General features: G+C 34.6%; 1 protein-coding gene across 12 annotated transcripts in view; it reads right to left on the reverse strand.

The window, feature by feature from the left end:
- Positions 1-22536, reverse strand: part of AKT3 (AKT serine/threonine kinase 3) — a 362847-nt gene that overhangs the window by 61701 nt on the left and 278610 nt on the right. For 10 of the 12 annotated variants that reach the window (NM_181690.2, NM_001370074.1, XM_047420641.1 and 7 more), the window contains 2 exons: positions 13787-13915; positions 2796-3010 (listed from right to left, as the gene is read on the reverse strand). In NM_181690.2, coding sequence (NP_859029.1) covers positions 2796-3010; positions 13787-13915 — 344 coding nt within the window. Of the gene's footprint in view, positions 1-2795; positions 3011-13786; positions 13916-14351; positions 14455-16844; positions 17078-22536 lie in introns of those variants that run through there. The other 2 variants (XM_011544014.3, XM_024446892.2) reach the window with 2 other exon arrangements.

Here is a 22536-nt window from a genome sequence, read left to right on the forward strand (position 1 = left end):
TCATTTCCCAGTGTTACCCAACTCATATTCTACACTCTAGTCACTGAACTTCTCAAATGCCATGTTCTTTTGCAATCCTAGCTATACTCTACATGTAAATTTCTGTGCTTGAGTGCCAATGCAAATTCAAACTCCTTTCTGATCCAGCTCAAGTCCCCCAATCCCCTAGACAAAGCCAATAATTTCAACAGTACTTTGTATGTAGTTTGACCTGAGCATCTGTGAGTATATGTTTTGTGCCCCAAATTATTCTATGAACATCTAGAGCAGAGACTGGTTCATCTCACTCATCCTTGTATTCTCTGTATTTTGATGCAGCAGTGGAGGGGCTTGACACATCTATTATAAAAGAAATTATTAGATCATTGAAAATACTGCATCTTCTCATTAGATCAATATCAACCTCCTGGTGAACAAACAGTTAGGAATTGTTCTATTAATACATACTAGGCGGTTAACATTCTAAGAATTTGCCTCACATTCATTCAATAGTTCCTAAGTACCGACTATGTGCTATTCATGGAGTGGGCTGACAAATAAAAAAAAATGAATGAGACATACACATGAAAACCACAAGTACATTTTGTTCTACTAGCCACTTATATAAAGAGGGCCACAAAGTAAAGGGTGGTCAAAGTTGCCTGCAGGAATAAGAAAACGATGAGATAAATATTCACTGCCTCGAATACCAAGCCAAATATTAGACCAAAAAATGAAATAGATAAAAGTCGGCTGGACACGGTGGCTCATGCCTGTAATCCCAGCACTTTGGAAAGCCGAGGGGGGTGGATCACGAGGTCAGGAGATGGAGACCATCCTGGCCAACATGGTGAAACCCCATCTCTACTAAAATACCAAAAAAAAAAAAAAAAAAAAAAAGCCAGGTGTGGTGGCAGGCGCCTGTAGTCCCAGCTACTCAGGAGGCTGAGGCAGGGGAATTGCTTGAACCCAGGAGGCGGAGGTTGCAGTGGGCCGAGATTGCGCCACTGCACTCCAGCCCAGACAACAGAGCGAGACTCCCTCTCAAAAAAAAAAAAAAAAAAAAAAAAAAAAGATAAAAGTCACCACTCTGTTTAAAGTTACCTATCATCGGGTGCTGCTCCTTACTTAATTGTAAAAGAACGCTATCAAACGGAACACATTTCAAAACTTAAACTGAGAAACTGCTGCATTGTAAATAAGATACATAAGAAATACCAAATAGGCACCAAGAAACTTGACTTCTACTCTTGGTCTGCATGAATGTTCTGAGAGACCTTGAAGAAATCACCTAACCCTCTCTGGGCCTTTGTTTTCAACTCAATGAAATGGAAATAAGAATAGTATCTCCCCTATCCACCCAACAAGGCTCCTGAAAAAGCAAGGGAATTAATAGCTGTGAAAGTGCTCTGAAGAAGAAAACAAAATCACTTTACACATATAAATAATATCTGCAGCTAGGATTACAAAATGTTTCTTGAATGAGTCTTCACAAAGCAGAAAGACAATATCTCTTTTATTATGTTTGCTTATTTCTGCTGAAGATAAAGCCATGTTCCTTACAAGGTTAAAAGCTAGAAGAATACAATGAAAACCATTTCTCAGATAGACTTAAAAATCCAACTTTTTGGGATTCACTCATTAACCCACTCATATATATATAATATATATATATATGAGCATCAACCATACGTAAAACATTTTCATAAAACTCTATGTGAGGTATTATAAAATATTCAACAATATGTGAAATCATCTATGCTTCAAATGAGTAGACTCAGAGAAATACTGATATGCACAGATACCTAGATGGGAAGGCAGATATATCCATATACAAACACACATATTAAGAAACATTTTAATATTAATAGTCATTTCACATATGATTTATGAATTTATAAATATGAATGAATGTATAAACATGAATAAAAATACTGTAGCTCATTGAACAAAGCAGCAAGAGCCATAGAGTTCTTCAATTCATAGCTGTAGCTACAAAAACAGAAATTAAAAGTGTGTACAATTATTTTTTGCCATCAACTCTTTCAGCTATGCATAGAAAAGATTATTTTCAAATGACAAAAAAGCAGTTAGAGGCCGGGTGCGGTGGCTCACGACTGTAATCCCAGCACTTTGGGAGGCCGAAGCAGGCGGATCACTTGAGGTCGGGAGTTCAAGACTAGCCTGGCCAACTTGGCAAAACCCCGTCTCTACTAAAAACACAAAAATTAGACAGGCGTGGTGGAGGTGCCTGTAGTCCCAGCCACTCGGGAGGCTGAGGCAGGAAAATCACCTGAACCTGGGAAGCAGAGGTTGCAGTGAGTCAAGATCGCGCCACTGCACTCCAGCCTGGGTGGCAGAGTGAGACTCTGTCTCAAAAAAAAAAAAAAAAAAAAAAAAAAATGCAATTAGATATGTTAACACAGGTTGCGGGTGGGAGGAGAGTATTGAAAAATAGGTCTATTCCTTTTATAAGAAATACAAAGGCCCAGAGACTGAAAGAAAGAAAAGTGATTCTTCTATCCCCACAAGATCAAGTAACAGAGCAATTAAGAAATTTTCACTCATAATATGGATAATGAAACTCTCAAAATCCTTATTTGGTAAATCTGCATAAAATTTCCAAGTTAGGAAAGAGTTGAGAAAAATTTTTAAATGTTCTATATTATGCAGTTAAAAATAAGTCAGGATCTCAGTGGGAAGATGTCTACACCAAATACATTGCTTCTTGGAGTTAGTTATATTTGAATTAATTTCCATATCTCAATTTTTAACCACATTCATCAGTAATTCACTAAGCGTTATTTGAGGCTTACCGTTTATTTGGATCCTTTATCAAGAGCCCTGAAAGCAATGATTTTGCATCTGAAGAGAGTGTTCGAGGAAATTTAATGTCTTCCATTAATATTAATTCAAAAAGTTTCTCATGGTCCTGGTTGTAGAAAGGTAACCTCCCACACATCATTTCATACATGACAACCCCTAGGCCCCACCAGTCTACTGCTCGGCCATAGTCATTATCTTCTAACACCTAAAAGTGAAATCAGTAAAAAGATTAATTATTACATGTTAACTTTTAAAGCATTATTCATAAAACATAAGATTTTTACATAAAAATGAATCTTAACTTTCAAAGCCTAGGTAGTCTGAGATCTTGACATTTAAACTGTGAAGCATCCTACAAAAAATACAAATCACATCAAATATGTGAAATATTCAATATATATCCACAAATGGCCAGTGTACAAAAAAAGGGGCAGGTCGTACAAAAAAAAAAAAATCCCAAGTACATGAATATACATAAGGATCAAATGAAAAACGTTAGCTAGCATATTTACATATTTTTTCTTAGGCCTACTGACTTTTTCATTCTGGTTCCACCCATGTGGACTTCAAGTAACAACTCAGAGCTAGGGTGTGCTGATTATAGAGCACATAAAGTGCACTGTACATTCTTGCCTTAAGAAGAACTAAGTAATACAAATTAAACAGTGAAAGACAGTAGTAAACAAAGGCAATGTAATGGAGAAGTCTACAGGGCAAGACAACCATTAAAATAACTTTGAAAAACCTTTGGATGCCCCTGTATGTTTCAACTCTTTCTGGAACTATTTAAGAGACAAAGTGAATATAAAAGCTTATGGTACGAGCTGTAATAAACTTTGATAGCCACAGCTTTATACCTCACAACAAAAATTCCTGTTACAGCAAAAAAAATGGACTTAATATCTGTGTGGTATATGTCCTTAAATTTTTCCCAAAATATATTACACGTAAAATAAATTTAGTTAGAAATGATACAAAAGTATCCGTTTGCCTATGCTGGAGCAACCTGTTCAAATGGTAACATGGTAACCTACCATTTGCCCCAGGAAAAATTTGGTTTTATCTTTTTATCAGATTTGTTCTTCATCCAATGGAATATTCCTCATCTATATGCAACTTTGAATATTTTATTTTAAAACTATATTTGATAATCTTAAAGCTTATTTTATTTGATCCTCTCAGCTTTGGAAAACCAGATGGGGAAAACCAAATATATGAATTTATCAATTTAAAAACACTTACAACCGATTACAAAGGAGAACATTTGATAAGGACAAAGCAGTACTTGTGTTCCAAACTTTCTTGCTTCGAATTAAATATTTTCTGGAAGATTACTCCTACATGACTTTTATTTAAAATTTACCAATAATCTCACAGAATTACAGGTGATATTTTTGACAGTTACATTATGATTACCTAAAAATACTATGAAAGGCACTTTGGTAGGGTATTTAAAGACAAAGGATATAATTTATAAGAAAAAATATGTTACTTAAAAGATCTATTCAATAAGCATTTCTATTATGAAAAGATTTTTAATTCAATTATATCAATGTTTGTTTTACGGCTAAAAAACTGAAAACTTCACTGGTAAGATATGAACACATGTTTAGATCCTATGCTTTTCTAGAAATGTTTTGTAAATCACAAACTAACAAAAAAACATTTTCTGGAAGAACAACAAATTCTAGTTTTCATCATCAGCGCAAAGAATGTCATATTTTTACTTGTTTGAAATGAGTAATTTGAGAACAAATAGAAAACAAAAAATAACCTAAAAAAGCAGAAGAAATTCTACTTCATATTTACGTTAAAGGAAATGCTGCATGTATTATTTTAAAATACCACTGACTTTTGATGATTCAAGGATCTCGCTCATGGCCAATTAGTACAATGCACTGTTGGTGGGCCTTTATCTAATTGACACAAGATTTTAACTAATAACAACCAAAAATTTATATCTAAGTAACCTTTAACTACATTCCTACAACACCAACACAACAGTGGCATATACGAAAAGGAGCCAAATGTGGTTTTTAACCTCTTTTTTTTTTCATAAAACCATAAAAAGCATAAAAGCTGGATTAACTGCCTCCCGAACCCACATTTCACCAGCCGGGTTCTCATCCCCAGCTGGCAAAACTGGCAATCCTTTATTTTTTTTAAATACCTGGTTTGCAGCCAGAAGGGAAAGTGAGTACATAAAAAAGGGGGGTTTTATTTTTGAAGAGAAGTAAGCAACTGAAAAATAAAACTGCATTGTAAAAAAATCTGTTTGATAAAATAAAATACATTTTATTTAGCTTTGTAAAATGAATATCGATTCTTAAAATAAGTGATTTTGCCTCTGAACATACGTGCCTTAATTGATCTACAGATACATAATGCTATAATTAGAACTGTTTGCCGTATTACTTTGTATTGAACAAAACTGATGTAACGTATTGTCTTCCTGACATGTAAACTTAAGCAATGCTGAGAAGAAAACACCCTAACAACTAAAATCCCTCTTTACCTAAGAGACTTCACTATCAATTAGAAAGATTTTTGTCCAAATCCTATCTCCAAACAGCTATAAGATGAAACATACATAAATAATGATTACAGTATCCTACATGTGGATACATATGTTCCCACTATTAAAACAATATCCTTTCTCTTTCCTGAATCTAAATTATTTCAAAACACAATACTTTCAAATACTCTGGAAATCCCACAGCCAAATTAACCAATTCGAATCCAATAACCTCTTTCACATTATTTTAAGAAGACAATTTTTCTCCCTCTACTCAAAGCACTTATTATTCTATAAATACATAACATATAAAATTTACATTTTTTTAACTTAAGGATTGCAAATTCTTTCTGGCTACCTCTGATCATTTTTTTCTAGCTAAAAGGCTAATTTATTTCATGGTTATTGTGAGGGCTGGCTGAAAGGTATGATAAACAGTGGTATAATGGACAGGTACAACAATGGTAGAGCATATTTCAACTTCATTAAAAGGTTAATTTCTCATATAATTTGGATATAAATGCAGATCAAAATATGCTCCTGAAAAAATCCAGTGAAAGATTTATCTTGAAGAAATAACTTCTGTCTCCTTTCCATAAAACCAACATTACTGACTTGTAAATGAAACCCAAACTTTAAATAGGAAAGCAGACATTTGGTATTTCCTCTACCCCTACAGTCCTTTGTAACCACAGATGTAGTTGTACATTATACCTACCTTTAACACAAATGCCCAAACAGAGATGAAAGAGGAGATTTGGAACATCAAAAAAATGTAATTGTTAAAAAATGATGAGAGGTCACATCAAATGAAAACTTAAACAGAGCACAAAGTCTAGAAAACAAGGCTGTATTTCTAATAGGAGCCAGAAACTGCTTTACTTTATGATACGATAAAACCTAAGACTCAAGGAGGTTACAGCAGATACAAATTAACATTAAATATCCTGGAAATATTTGATCAATATTTGATGAAGACACTTACATTTATAAAACAGCCAGGTGAGTTAAAACACATTAGTTTTTGAATTGTTATTAATTTCAAAGAATGATATTGAATGAGAAACTATATATTTTTAAATGATACTACCAATTCAAGTTACTAATGTAAATATTTATTTGGCTAATGGGCTTTTTCAAAACAAAAAAAAAACTATTCATTACAATATTTGTTTACCAGGAGGATTTACTAGGAGGTTAAAGGGACCCCTCTCTCAGCTTGCCCACCAGGCCACACAATGCACCCAAGGCAAGCAATTATAAGGAGGCTATGTATGCCCTGGAGTGGCTTACTGCTCAATCAATAATCCTGACAGAACAGATGGGGGAAAAAATTAAACATCTAAACAAACTGTCTGCACACCTATGCTGTGAAAGTAAACTGCGAACTTGGATGAACCAATTTACCACTAATTCAAAAAAAAAGTTTTTTCTGGTAGCCTTACATTTCAGGTAACTGATAGATGTGTGTTTTATACCTAAACATACATCTGTATCATTTATCATTTATGGGAGCCCTTCAGATATTCTTAACATCACAGGTATGGGCTAAGAAAAAAAGACCTATAAATCTTCTCATTCAGATTTTAAAGTAAACTGCAGCTTCAGGAAAAGTATCCATTTCAATACATAAGATTATAAATTCTACAGTTGCTTGGTATTTTCTTCATAAATATATATTTTATAACTATTTCTCAACTGCTTTAATAGTTCTTAAGTGACAGCAACTGTCAATGCCATTTGCTATGAATTAGAATGCTGTACGCTTTATGGCCACCTCTCCTAGCACACACAAATACTTGTATACAGTTAACATCGTACTTTCAAAAGCAAACTCTGGCTAGCACAGGAAAAATCCTTTGACAAGAGAAAGGCTAAATGGATACAATAATGATGATTAGATCATACTTACACATATCTTCCAAGAAATTTCTATACTTCTTTTTTATTCTGAAGCAATAGACATTATGGGATTCCAAGAAACTGAGCCTTCATAACCCAAGTAACAATAGCCATTGTAAAATACTATAGGTAATCACCAGTGTTTCCAGTTAGGGTTAGTTTTGTATATGTTCTCATGGTACAGAGAATTTAAAATTAAACTTCATGCTTAAACTAGAATCACACCGAAGTACTGAATGCAAATATTCTGTTAAAGCCAAAAGACCATATAACATTGAAAAGAAGTTAGGGCGAAAAATAGCTACTTTAAGAACTGACAGACCTCTAAGTAAGTAAAAGATGCCACTTATAAACATTGAGAGGCGTTAATTCCATTTTAGTTCATATTTAAACAATGTCCAATTATGAGATAAAATGGAATGGCTTTTAATATTACCCAGAAAATCATATAAAATAGCAACATACTATAGAAAGAAATTAAATATATTCAACTAAATAGTAAGCCAACTCATATGAGAGTTAGAAGTTCTTAAACATGAATTCTAACTATAGAGCAGACAGCTTCTATCTGAACTCATCCCTCTACTCCTTTAATGTTCCCTTTAATCATGGTGATGAGACCTTTTCTGAATTCCCAGGAAGATGAAGGTTTTCAAAATTACCCCAGGTGGAGAGATATCATATGAATTATCAATAAGTAAATAAAATGTTAGGGTTGTCCACAATTTTAGAAAGGCTACTAAAACAACTCTTTCTTTTCACAAAAAGCATAGAGATTCTAAGACTAGTTTTACAATCTGCTGGAATATAGTAGGACTTTGTGCAAAGACTAATCAGAATGTAACTACATGTGCTACTATTTTTACCTACAGATTAAATGTGCAAACATATGTAACTTTAGCCTCATTCATTTCTCTTCAGATCTCCTAAAAACAACATTGGCAGCACCCACAAAATGACATATTTTACATTTATTCTTTGTTGGATTTAAAATAAAGAAAATTCTGTTTAATACATTTCAAGCAAGTTAGCTTCTAACTATTTCCCACACCTACAACACTAGTCCATGCCCTGGCACTGCCTTTACTACCTTTTGTGGAAGTTAATATATATCTTTGGTTTTTAATTTATATAGAAATTAATCTCCATGTGTACTATGAGCTAACACAATGACTTTGAGCAAATCTTTGTATCAAAATAGTTGTCAAAATATTCTCATCTATTTCAGCTATTTTAAAAATGTTACATTATATGCAAGATATTAAAGATAGTAGGTTTCAAAGAAAAAATCAGGAAAATTTTGGCAAGCAAAACATTTTCTAAGAATGGGGTTCTAAAAAACTAAAAAGAATGCATCAAATACTGCACTTCAGCCACTGGAAAAACAAATCATTTTACATTTAGATGAAATAAAATTAGATGCATTTTTTTCTCAATAGCAACCACAGCTAGATATATTTCCCAACAATCAAGTCATTTTTTGCAATCTTTGTTAGTTCTAACTTGATTATCAAATAATTTTTATTTTTACACTATTACAGAAGTGCATTTCTCTAGGTTTCCAAAACCACCTTATTCAACCTTCCCCATCTGTCACCATCTGCCTCTTTTTAGCATGTACTTTTTGTGTGATCACATAAGCATGTGAAAAATAACTAACATTCAGATGATTATCTGCTGGTACATTTGAGGACTGGGCATAATAAAAGTGAACTGCCAAAACGCACTTAACACTTTTAATTTTGTTGGGTCTTGCATGTAAGCTACATTTGATTTTCAAACTGTTTTACAGTTGGAAAGTGGATCAGGTACTGCTAACTCAAGAGCAAAGCTGAGACTCTAAATAATTAGCACTGCATAAAATGGTTTGGATTCAATAGGAGCCAAATCAAATAATAAAATTTAGCAGTAAGAGTTTATATGTGATTTCTAATTTCTTTTATAATTTCTAGGTGTGAAAATACAGCACAGATTATAAAAACAAAATCCCCTCAAGATATCATATGGTCCATAATTTACTATAAGTTTATTTCCTTCGAATGTACAAAAGAGCAAAAGTACATTCATTTAAAACTATACATACAAATGCAGTTTTCAAGATGTAGCACACTAAATGCACAGTGCATATGCCAGCTAGAACTGAACCGCTGTAACCTGTTAAAAACACAAAACAAAACAAAGCTAGCCTTTTCTACATTAGCAGTATTGTTAAATGCTTCCCAAGTTGGAAAACTGCATTGTAAGCTGCATTCTTCATCAAAAGAGATAAGAGAACAAATACCTTAAAAATATTCTTTTTTCAACAAATGGCATATTTATACTGTAAGTTTTATGTTTTTCTAATTTGCCATAAGAAACAAATTAAGTTCACTTAAAACTCAAGTTTATTTTAAAACCTGCCATGTATCTGACATTGGACATTTAATAAACTGGCTTTAAACTGATTTCTAACACTCTTTGTGAAGTATCTTCAAAATACCCTTCACCTGTCTTTATACCAGATTAAAACAACGTAAAAGGCGAAGGAACACTATTGCTAGATGAAGTATAGGTTGCAGCAAGATTCCTACATAATGTGTAAACAAATCTTCTGTAAAGACAGAGGGGAAAATGTTGACAGTGAGTCATTCACAAGAGAAGCAGTAGTCAAGAATGTATTACAGATCTGATACACAACTACTACTTCTAGTACTGTCACGAAAAGCCCAGCATTAATAATGGTAATGTACTAGAAATTTCAAGGTCCAAAAAAAGTGCGAGACACCATCTGAGGTAAAAGGAAGAGGCTGGCTTCAGCTCCTGCCAATCGCTCCCTAACACTGACCATGTAAATCTGATCACAGTATCGCCTTGCTCTCAATTCACAAGTAATTTTCCCTAGCCCACAGGATCAAATCTAAAACTGTTACATTTCAATCCCTATCTATGTGTCCAGCCTCCTCTCTTCCTGCTTCCCCTTTTCCACTGCCGGACCCTCCCTGCAGGCTTAAGCACTTTTCCTTTTCCTTCCACTCCACTGTATGGAACTAGTAAAGCAGTTATTTTCTTGCACAGTAATAACTGTTTTCCATGTCTTATCACCTCAGTGAACAGCAAGCCACTTGAGGGCAAAAACATCTTCTACCATCGTTGTATTCCCAGTACCTAATGTAATGCCTGATACTTAATATTCAATAAATAATTCTTTGATGAATGAATGAGTGTCCCTCAGTAAAATGGTCCACGCTGAAGACCAGAATAAAGGAATTAAATTCTTATTTTTTTAAGGGTAAACACAGTCAAAGTTTAAAAATGCAATATGTGACACAACATTTAAAATATAAAAGTTACAATTTCGTAAGTTGTTTCAAGATTTCTCATACTCAAATAATAACAACAATAATCACTCTTCCCTATAAAAACATGGTGTCCAGATTTGAATTATGAATCAATGTGTATCCACCAAGGATGGGTATACAAACTGTTTTTAAAGACCAGACTTTTGAAGTATTAAAAAAGGTATACAGAAATGTTTTCTTGTCTTTAAAGAGAAACTGATAATTTTGTGGCAACTATAAACTTTCCATTCAGAAACAAGTGGACTCTTCTTGCATTAGATTCTTAATTTGTTCTTCAGTTGATGACACTGCATATGAAATAATATATTTGTTTCTCAGATCATCTGCTTCTTAAATGAGATGTATTCATCTTCTTCAGAAATAATTTACCCTAATTGTGACACAATTAATTTTGTTATTCTAAATATGGCATATCTTCTTCCATAGCAAATTTATAGCAGGGGTAACTGAACTCCAGAGAAACAAATAATTTTTTGTGACATTTATAAAAACAATTCTATTCTAGAAAATATTTTATTTGAATAAACAAGAAACAGTGTTACTAAAGTTTTACCTAATTAAACCACAAAAATAGAGAATTCTAAACTACAAATTTTTAAAGAGAGAAAATTATATTTTTGGCAAGAAAATAATAGTATGAAATTTATTGTATTTTAAATAGTAGCACTTATTTACAATAACTTAACATTGTTGAAATGTAAATGTAATCCCTAGTTGAAAAGAAGTATTAGAATAATAGACCAGCATGAGTTACTTTATGTTTAAGGAATGCTAGTATCATTGGGGATTTATTTTACTTCCTAATTTCTTTTGATTACCTTTTCCTGTTGGGCATTTACAAAGCATTCATTTAAAAATTACGATTATTTATATTTGTAAGTGGTCTTCAAATTAGGATTTTTTGAGGCCAGGACGTATGTAGTTTAAAAAGTAAAAGTGGGCTTTATAGTCAGACACACTAATTAGAATCTTCATTACACTTCTACCACCTCTTAGCTGTGTACAGATAACATTTAAATATTCTGATCTTATGATCCCTCACCTTTAAAAAATTGCATTTGCTATCTATCATCAAAGATTATTCCAAATGTTAAATGAAATAATAGCTGTAATGCACTTACACAGCAGGTGGCACATAGTAGATGCTCATTAAATAGTTACCCTCACACATCAAATATTAACACCTCCCTATTTGCCTATAGCCACAATAACTGTATTGGAGTTTGAGGGGAAATGGAGCACCAGCTGCTCTCTTTGGAAAGCTCTTCCCTTTTACCTTTGCAACAGGTACCATCACTTTCCATCAACCATCACTTTCGCTGAACATAGTATCTGTGAAAGATGTTATTTTTCAAAGATGGCTGTGGCAGTATCTCCCATCTCACATGCTCTTCTGTAATGTAAAGGTGTGGTCTCTGTCTCTACCACTTTAACCTGTGCAGGCTTACAACTGCTTCAGGGAGTAAGGGTATGACAGAAATGATGTTGTGTGACTTCTGAAAATAGGCCATAAAAGGAGATGCATAAACAAATGTTCATAGCAGCAGCATTATTCATAGTAGCCAAAAAATGGATGCAACCCAATGTACATCAGCTGCTGAACAAATAAACAAAATGTGGTATATCCATATAATGGAATATTATCCAGCCATAAAAAGGAATGAAATAAGTATAACATGCTAAAACAGGGAGGAACACTGAATTTTATGCTAAGTGAAAGAAGCCAGTCACAGAAGACTCCATACTGTATGATTCCATTTGTATGAACTGTCTACAATAGGTAAATCTATAAAGACAAAAAGCAGATCAGTGGTTGCCTGTGGCGGAAGGAAGAATGAGGAGCTAACGGGTATGGGGTTTCTTGCTGGAGTGATGAAAATATTCTGGAATTGGACAGCGATGATAGTTGTACAACTCTGTGAACATATTAAAAATCACCAAAGTGTGTATTTTAAAAGAGTAAGTTTTATGGCATATGAATTGTACTCCAATTATAAAAATATCTGTGAAATCAAGTTTTTAAAAAGTTAATAGTCTTGATGGTTTACTAGGTGGAAACAAAGGCACCATGCAGCTTCTAATGTGTTCCCTAGGACATTTGCTTTTAGGGCTCAGAGCCAAAGAAGTCTGACTGCATTGAAACTGTCATTATGAGGAAGTCCAGACTCATGGAGAGAAGGGCTACATGTAAGTGTTCCTGCCAACAGCCCAAATAAGGTACCAGTGGACAGGCAGCAGAACTGTCGGACATGTGAGTGAAGATGCTTCCTGATGACTCTAGTCTCCAGCCATAGAATCATGCTCTCACTGTAAAGTCTTTCAAGCTGAGACCTCATACATAGTGGAGAATAAACTAGCTATCCTTGCTGTGCCCATTTGCATTCCTGATTCAGAAAATCCATTATTTTATATAAAATGGTTGTTTTCCACTGCTAAGTATTAGGGTGGTTTGTTACACAGCATTAGTAACTGGAACACCATCTACAACAGCCACACCACACCCTTACATTTAATCTTGCTTTTTTGTTTGTTTGTTTATGAAACTTAAGACATTATGTTATTTATTTATTTTTATTCTGTCTCCCTCCACTGAAAGTTAAGTTCCCTGAGACTAGGATCCTTTTCTGTGTTGTGCCTGTAACCACATCATCCAGAAAAGTACCTGATATACAGCAGATACACAATAAATATTTGTTGAATAAACAAATTAATAAATTATTGTGGAACCCTTAGCACAGGGAAGTTACCAGTTTGGAGCTTCCTCTGACATAAATTCCAAAATGTAGCTACTGTCATTTCAATAATTTTCCCAATAAAATAATTTTAAATAAACCCACAATACTATAAATTAAAAACCACTGTTGTTTCTAAGGAAAGTCCAAGATGGTTTATAAATATAAATACTCTTGCTGAAATCAATTATTCTATTTTAATAAATGAATCAAAATGGGTATAGCCAAGATAAAATGGATATGGCCAAGAAATAAAAATTGATTTAACTGACTATAGCTAGTACCTTTGTGCTTATAGTTTATAAAATTTAATTTCAGTATATTCTTGATCCTACAATACCCCATTATAACAAATTAAGAGCCAAAAAATTTTGATTCAGGTTGAAATATAGATAAAAGTAGTAGATACTACAGTTAACTTTTAATGCTTAAATGGTTTACTTTGCAAATCATTATGTCAATGTTACTTTCCTATTAATGGAACCGAAGCCTACCTCTGGTGCCAGATATTCTGGAGTGCCACAGAATGTCTTCATGGTGGCTGCATCTGTGATCCCTTCTTTGCAAAGTCCAAAATCTGTAATTTTTATGTGGCCATCTTTGTCCAGCATTAGATTCTCCAACTGTGTATTAAGAAAAATGACATAATTTGTTCTATAGTCTTCAACAACATGAAAATACCATTTTAAAAAACTACTGAATGCTGAGTAAGGTATTTTGGAAACAGGACATAGTTGTAGCTAATAGAACGCTCAGTACTTACAAACTCTGTTGCTTCACGTGTAAAAAGAAACATGTTTTATCAAATACTTCACGATGATAAAATTATCTATTTTTAAACCGATGGGAATAAGTGATATAGCTTTAAGAGCCATTATTTTGTAAGTTCTGAAATTAAAGCCTAATCAACTTTTCAAAGCAAACATCAATCCTCTTTTTTTAAAAAAGAAAATGTGATCTAAACAATCCCAAAGAGATGAGCATCTTCTTCTAGATATATACAGATGGTTTCAACAATTTCTCCTGGGAATCTATTGCTATTATAAAATATTCACTTACAGAAATGTTTTTTGGTGGTGCTTGTAAATCAAACCTAAATCTTATTTTGTAAGGTAAGGCGATATCCTCTTTTGCAGTTCTTTGTAATAAAGAAATACCAACCCTTTTAAATATAAAAAGAAAAAGAATATCAAAGTCAAACATTCAACAGTTAATAAAAATATATAGCATAAATGTTATAAAGTTGGACCCTCTTTGAACCCATTAATTCAAAACACCAAAGAAAATCTTAAAGATTTAACCAAGTAACAGGATCATGTGCCTCAAGCGGAAAATTATGAAATGTAAGAGAGGAGGAATTTGTGCAAAGCCAACACAATTAGAAATAACAATGTAACCAGCCAGTTCCCCTCGAGCTAATTTGAACCTAAGATTATGATTATCATCAAACAAAGATACAGATGAGTTCTGAGTTATGATCATACAGCCTTATGTATTCAGGGCCCATAAAACTTTGCCTAGTCATGTAGACACAACCTAAAGGTATTTCTTCTGTCATACTGAAAAAATATACAAAATGTGAAAAGTATATTAACAGGATAAATGATAGTTAACTTTTATTTGAGGAGTAGATTCTTATTCTACTCCTTAATGTGATGACATTTGAAAGAATGTACCTGGACTCTGAAGTTAATATCAAATTTAAAACAGATCTCCACTTTAGAACATAAACATATCAGTCATATAAAATATGTTATTATACTCTCTGCCATATTGTCAAATGTCTTATAAACCAGACACTAAATACAGTTAGGCAAGTTGTGTTCACTGAAGCAAAGTTCAGAACAGACAAAAGTCCTTTTTTATAGTACTTCAATGTGCCATCTAACTAAACCAAATGCTTGATATACATTTCATGTATAGCATGTCTCACAGAGGTAAGTCTGGCTTCAATTTTTTTCTACAGAAAGCTGAATGAACACATAAAATATACTGCTGAACCTTTAAAAAAAAATTTCTGTTTTGAGACAGAGTCTCACTCTGCCACCCAAACTGGAGTGCAGTGGTGCAATCACAGCTCACCACAACCTCTGCCTCAGCAGCTCAAGCCACCTCAGCCTCCTGAATGGCTGGGAACACGGGCACGTGCCACCATGCCTGGCTAATTTCTTAATTTTTTTATAGTGACAAGGTCTCACTTTGCTGCCCAAGTTGGTCTTGACCTGCTGGGTTCAAGCAATCCACCCACCTCAGCCTCTCAAAGTTCTGGGATTACAGGCATGAGCCACCATGCCCCACCAAATTAAAATTTTTTATTTTATCCAAACTCAGTTATCTTGTATATTCCTGTTTCTCTACCAGCCAGAACCTAGAAACCAAACCCAATCTGCACAAATGACAATAAGTCTTGTATATTGAAACCAATCAGAAACATCAAGAGTCTTCAACTGTCCTATTTTCTCTTTCTGCCTTGGTCTGTCTCTTCTCAGCCTCTGGTTTCTCTCTTTTTTCCACCTCTTTCAAACAACCTCTCTTCTTCCTCCCTCCCACTTTGCCATAATGAGAAACGTTAAGTATATACTAAAGCTTCTGTTGTTTTACTGAATAAAAATGTATATGCCCTTTTATTAATTTTTAAAAATATGCTTTATAAATATATAAAATGCTGAAGATCTTTAGTGAATACTCTTTTACTAATATAATACATTAACAATTCTTATAAAAGTTCCAAATAATACAAAATATTGAACAAAATGTGAATGTACTTTTTACACCATTCCATTCCCATCTAGTTTGGTGTGTAATGTGCCAATACTCCTCACATGCTTTGTATGCATGGGAAAGTCTTCATGGAAACATGACAGACAGGATGCACTATTTCTCCACGTTTTGACAAAGCTATTTTTGAAGTGGCTGGATACAGAAAAACCAAAATGTATAAACACTGCTTTTTAATACCTAGCTCCGTGTGTGTGTACGTGTGTGTAAAATTCTGACTTGCATCTAATTCTGTAACCTCGTATCTCATCTCTGAGCCTCAGATCATGGTTGTGAGAAGAAGAATGAAATGAGATGCAAGGATAGGTTTGGGTAAGGAATAGGCTGAGGGTGACCAACTCCCAGTTTGCCCAGAACTGAGGGGTTTCAAAGAATGCAGGACGTGTAGTGCTACAACTGGGCAGTCCTGGGCAAACCAAGACAGCTGGTTACCCTACTTGTTTTATAAATTAGCTTTTAAAAAAATTACAATGATATAGTAAGAAATAAGATAAGCCTAAGGGATGACTGAGAGAGATGGGGTAAGGGTCATGGCCATGGGGACTGGTAGCATACTGCCTGGGAGGCAGTAGAGAGCAAAATGGATAAGACTATGGGTTCAAGTCAGAGGGTTCATATTAAAATTTGAGCTTTATCCCTTATTCACTGTGTGACCTTGGGCATATTATTAATTTCTACGTGCTTCAATTTCATCTATAAAACAAAAGTAAATAACAGTAACAATCCAATGTGACAGTTTTGAGAAATGAGATGCTAAATGCAAACTTAACATACCATAAGAATTGAATAAATGAACTCATCTTTTCTTAAAACATGAAGAGTTTAATGGCTTATTTGTAAATTGTCATGATGTGGGCTCTTCTAAAAAACACTGTATTTTAAAGAAAAGAACAAAGTTCAAGAGTGGAACCCCATAAAACATTTCTGTTGGCTCAATGACTGCATTAAAAATACTTTTCAATATGCAATAATTTATTTTAAGTAACAAAACACAGGCTAGGCACAGTGGCTCATGCCTGTAATCCCAACAATTTGAGAGGCTGAGGCAGGCAGATCGCTTGAGCTCAGGAGTTCAAGACCAGCCTGGGCAACATGGTGAAACCCTGTCTCTACCAATAATACAAAAGATTAGCTGTGCGTGGTGGTATGCGCTTGTGGTGCCAGCTACTCTGGAGGCTGAAGCGGGAGAGTTACTTGAGCCCGAGGTGTGTGGGGAGGTTGTAATATGCAGAGATGGTGCCACTGCACTCCAGCCTGGGTGACAGAGTGAAATCCTGTCTCAAAAAAACAAAACACAAATATTTTATAATTTTCTTATTTTTGAGACAGGGTCTCGCTCTGTTGCCTAGGCTGGAGTACAGTGGCACAATCACAGCTCACTGCAGCCTCAACCTCCCAGGCTCAACTGATCCTCCCACCTCAGCCTCCTAAGTACACAGGCGCACACCACTACCACGCCCTGCTAGTTTTTGTTTGTTTCTTCCTTTTTTTTTTTTTTTTTTTTTTTAAGAGATGGTATTTTGCCATGTTGCCCAGGCTGGTCCCGAACTCCTGAGTTCAAACAGTCCTCCCACCTCTGCCTCCCAAAGTGCTGGGATTACAAGTTTGAGCTACTGTGCCCAGCCTCATAATTTCCCAGTTATTTTGAAGTAGTGTCCACATTCTTCTATCAATTACTTTGTCTTCTCTCACCATCCTAAAACGTTGTTTTGCTGAGCATGAATGACTAAAACTTGTCCACCAAAATATTAGCTTAAAAAATAATATCCCCAAATCTAATCTTGTATAAAGATAAATCAGGAGATAATAAAATGTACAGTTCTGTTATACAATACATGATAATTTTACTCAGGATGCATTAACAGAGTTTCTGTAAAATACAAGGACCATTAGTAGGGTGATTCGTAAACCTGCAGAATGCACAGAAACACCTGTAAGTCTTTCCAAAGCATATCAATGGCCTAGATATATCAGTAACATCTGGAAATCACTGTCTTGGTTCATTTAACACTAACATAATGTAAGTAGTATTTACATTATTTACAGTAGTCATACATTTTTAGGAATCTTTCTACTGCGTAAAGGAGGAAGAAAAATATTTACAAATGATCTTTCTTTAGTCTTCTCTTCTAGATCACTTTCCTTCTTCCCTTTGTTAGCCAGACAATATGTAATGCATATTGTCACTGACTGCTTAGGTACTCTAAATTTATGAAACTTTACATGCATCTGTTTAATATTCACAGCCAATCTCAGTTTCCAAGATGGAGAGTAGGGCAGCATGCTTATGCTTAATGGATGCATCCACTAACAAAAGTAGTGATGAAGTCAAATATGAAGTCATAAGAAACAAGATTGTATATTAAAAATCTAAGTAATGCTTACTATTTCTATCAGAGGGTTGTTATCTAAAAGGTCATGCTTTTGAGGAGAGAGAAAAAAAAAAACACTAGACATAATACATCATAGAATTTCCACCAAAAAAAAGGGTAACATTTTTTGCCCAGTTGAAGTGGACAGGCATTACTTGACAGAGGGTCTTGATTCAGTGTGTATATGAAGAAATGGTAGATTTTTAAATCTTTTTTCCTGTGCTTAGTGGGCACAAAATTGTAACAAAAATTACTATGTTTCCTCCTGTTCTTGCTGATGGCTAGCATAAAATTAAACTTTAAAAATCCTAGCTGTCTTTAATACAATGCTTCCCAACCTTTTACATTTCACAGTAAAATAACAATTTAAAGTTGTGGGGCATACCAGGTTAACTGGACAAGATGCTTGAAGCCAGAACTCACTGGCCTGGAAGCTTCTCTGAACACTTTGCAGGCCGAGGCATGGTTGTAACCTGTTTGTAGCACCCAGTCTGAGAAGCTAGGCTTGAATGTAGGCCAGACTAAATATTTGAAAGTTTAAAAACACCATATATATGGTATCATTTTAATTAAACGACTGACATTGTGATTAAACAAAGGAATGAAAATAGCAGTTCCTAAGGGCTCCGATGACTACTGCAGCAATAGAAATAAACAATTCCTGTTACTCACTCTTACACCACATTTTAGCCCACATACATCAAACTCAGTTTTAGGCACCAAGACTCACTCAGGCCCAAGAAGGTAGTAAGGAATTCCTACTCTGCACATTGCAAGTTTAAGTTTACGGGCATCCAGTGCCAAAATGTCACAAGCTAACCTGCAGAAACTGAATGACCATGGAATGCTGAAATTCCAAAAGAAAAACGTTTCTTCACTTCAACCTCTGAATCCAGAAAAGGACTCATCATGTAAACAGACCCCAAATAGGTTGCCAGGCTATTTACAAATTTATTACGAATAAGGTACATAGTCCAATACCAGTACAATTTTATTTTAGAAGTGGAAGGAATGAAGAGCAGTGGCTTAAGATTTCTATATAGGGGGAAATCCAGTGACCATCTAGTTAGAAGTGGGAGCTGGGGAAAGTGTCTTGAAGCTCAGCAAGCAAAGCAAGCATGCTTTCCCCACCCAAACTGCATTTATTTGAAGTGAACATTAGGGAGCTGATGAGGACGAGGAGGGCTATGATAAAACTCTCTGAAGCCACCCCTTCGTGCCATTACTGAGTGTTAGAAAGTACCTAAATTTATTTGGTGCTTTCTCATATTAATACTGTAAATGGTTAACTATTCTCACATTAGGTGGAAAACAAGATTAGGTGTTCTACAAATAGGAAATAGCAACAACTTATGTATTATTTTCTCCCATAAACTAGCAAGAAATTAATTCTTAATGATTTCCAATATAGTTATATTCACCTTTGCAAATGTCCCTGTTCAGCCTACGCTGTGCTTAGATGGCCATGGTCATTGGTTGTATTTGTAAAATAAGAGCTAAGCAGAAAAGAAGATTTTAACATATAATTTGGACTACTGAAGAAGTCTTTGAAGAGATTTCTTCGAAATTTTGGGCAATCATGAAGCAACAGCAGTTTTCCTTAAGTAATCACAAGGAATTTGGGTCCTTAATAAAAATAAAACTTCATTACATGATGTGTATTGACAAATTAAATGAACTTACTTTCTAAAGTACAACAAAGGCTTCAACAATTTTTCTGTTGCTATAAACACTAATTTATTAGGAAACAGGAACTGATAAAAATATCTTAAGTTAACCTGCACATAAAAGAAGGCTCTGCCTCCAATGTGAATGAGACAGCGGCAAACGGGTATGGATTTACTTGAGAAGTGCTGCTACTGTAGGCATAGCAATTGGATTTGCATTTGAACAAAGTCAAGGTTATTAGTAATGAGAACAGAGACAAATCTGAGACTGATCAAAGTGGGTACCTAAATCAGTTCATGATAATGTTCTTTAATACATCTGGTATAAATATATTTGAAACACTCATTCTCTTACCTTCTGCAGTTTAATTTGAAGTTTAGGCTTACAAAGATTTCCCAAAGTTAATCCAATGCATCCCCCCTCTATAATTTCATTTCAACTCTAGAAGTCAGAATGATATAGTGACAAGAACATTCAATAAGGAGCTAGGATTCATGAGTTCCAAAAACCCTGACTGCTATCAACTTAGGTCATTACTTTTAGTAAGTCATTTACTAGGCTTCTAGGTTTGAAGGAGATCACCTATAAATTAAAGACCAGCTCAAAATTTCTGTGATCTTACCTAAAATATGTCATTGTATTATAAATAATCCTGTTACTGTGGATACAAATAACATGTGTGTAAGTTTTGGATGTTTGATTTCTTATGTTACATGGATTTTTCTAGGTGTACCTTTACAGTTTCTGTCCTATGCTAACTATATACTTAGGTCTTTAAGTTAAGGCTATATTTTTTAAGAAATAAACTCAGGGAGCAGAGACCACTTAATTGTCTAGTAAACTTGGTGAACTGTGCACGTGGTAACTAATTGACTGATATTCATATATAAAGTAGGTACTTTATATTGCAGTTTGACAAATTTAGTCTAATTCCATCATCAGAAAGAATGGGGCAGTGGAACTCATTTAATGAGCTTCAATATACCAATATGTTGGCTGGGCATGGTGGCTCATGCCTGTAATCCCAGCATTTTGGAAGGTCGAGGCAGGCGGTCACGAGGTCAGGAGATCGAGACTATCCTGGCCAACTCCGTGAAACCCTGTCTCTACTAAAAATACAAAAATTAGCTGGGCGTGGTGGCACATGCCTGTAATCCCAGCTACTCAGGAGGCTGAGGCAGGAGAATCGCCAGAACCAGGGAGTTGGAGGTTGCAGTGAGCCAAGATGGCACCACTGCACTCCAGCCTGGCGACAGAGCGAGACTCCATCTGAAAACACACACACACATACCCTCAATATGTTGATTCATTTGATGAGAAATGATTAAAGAAGAAATACTGACCAAGACCATAATCAATACTGCAATCAAATGAACATTCTTTTCTTTAGCAGTCTTTAGGCTAATAATTCAATCTTTTGAATTTAAGCTTTCTGGATGTTACCTATTACTTCAAAATTGTTATAATTTCCTTAAATCTAAGCCTCCATGCTTCTATCCTTCCCCTTTTCACCCCTACAAATAGGATTCATAAAACATGTAGTGGGAATACGAGAAGTGGACTCAGGAAGAGCAGAGCTAACTACTTCTAAGTATATTTGGAAAGTTAACACATTTTGTCATGCCACATAACTAATTCCTTTAAAGAAATTGATATTTAAGACATTTAGACAGTATAGGATTATCTGGCCATGCAGATACATGAATGCTGAATTCTGCCACATTCCTAGTTATAAAAAGATTCAGGCTAAATACAATCAAACTATTAATTTGTATTAATCTTTAGCCCATTTTGGCACTTAGACAGTTGGTCATCTCTGATCTAGATGTTTTATAGGTACATAGTTCAGTTCTTCCTACATACAACATCTTATAGCTTCTATATACCTCATTTCAAACAAAACAGAATTTCATAAAAGCCTCATGTAACTTCTGTTTCTACCAATCATTACGTTACATGAAATAGTATTTGATCAATAAGGCAATTCTGTGTCAAATTTTATACACAATTTGCTTCTTACAAAAGAAAGACTAACATCTAGAATTTATTCAAAATGTGTCGTGGTACAAATTCCTTTAATGTCGCCAACCTAATTCATAACACTGTCATGAGAATTACTATTACCTTGTATGAGTTACTCCAGGGATCAACAAATGACAACCTGTGGACTAAATTGAGCCCATCGCCTATTTTGTTTACTGGAACATAGCCAAACATATTCATTTACATACTATCTGAGGCTGCTTTTACCCTACAATGATGGAGTTGAGTAGTTTACAAAAGAGACTATACACGAACAGCAAAGCCTAAATTATTTTATCTGCCCTTTATAGAAAGTTTGCCAATCCTGAGCTACCCTAAGGGTCTCATCATAATGGAACTTACAGCAGTCAAAACACTATTACCAACAGAAAAAATAGAGTGCT

Source organism: Homo sapiens, chromosome 1, assembly GCF_000001405.40.
Source record: "Homo sapiens chromosome 1, GRCh38.p14 Primary Assembly".
Taxonomy (NCBI): domain Eukaryota; kingdom Metazoa; phylum Chordata; class Mammalia; order Primates; family Hominidae; genus Homo; species Homo sapiens.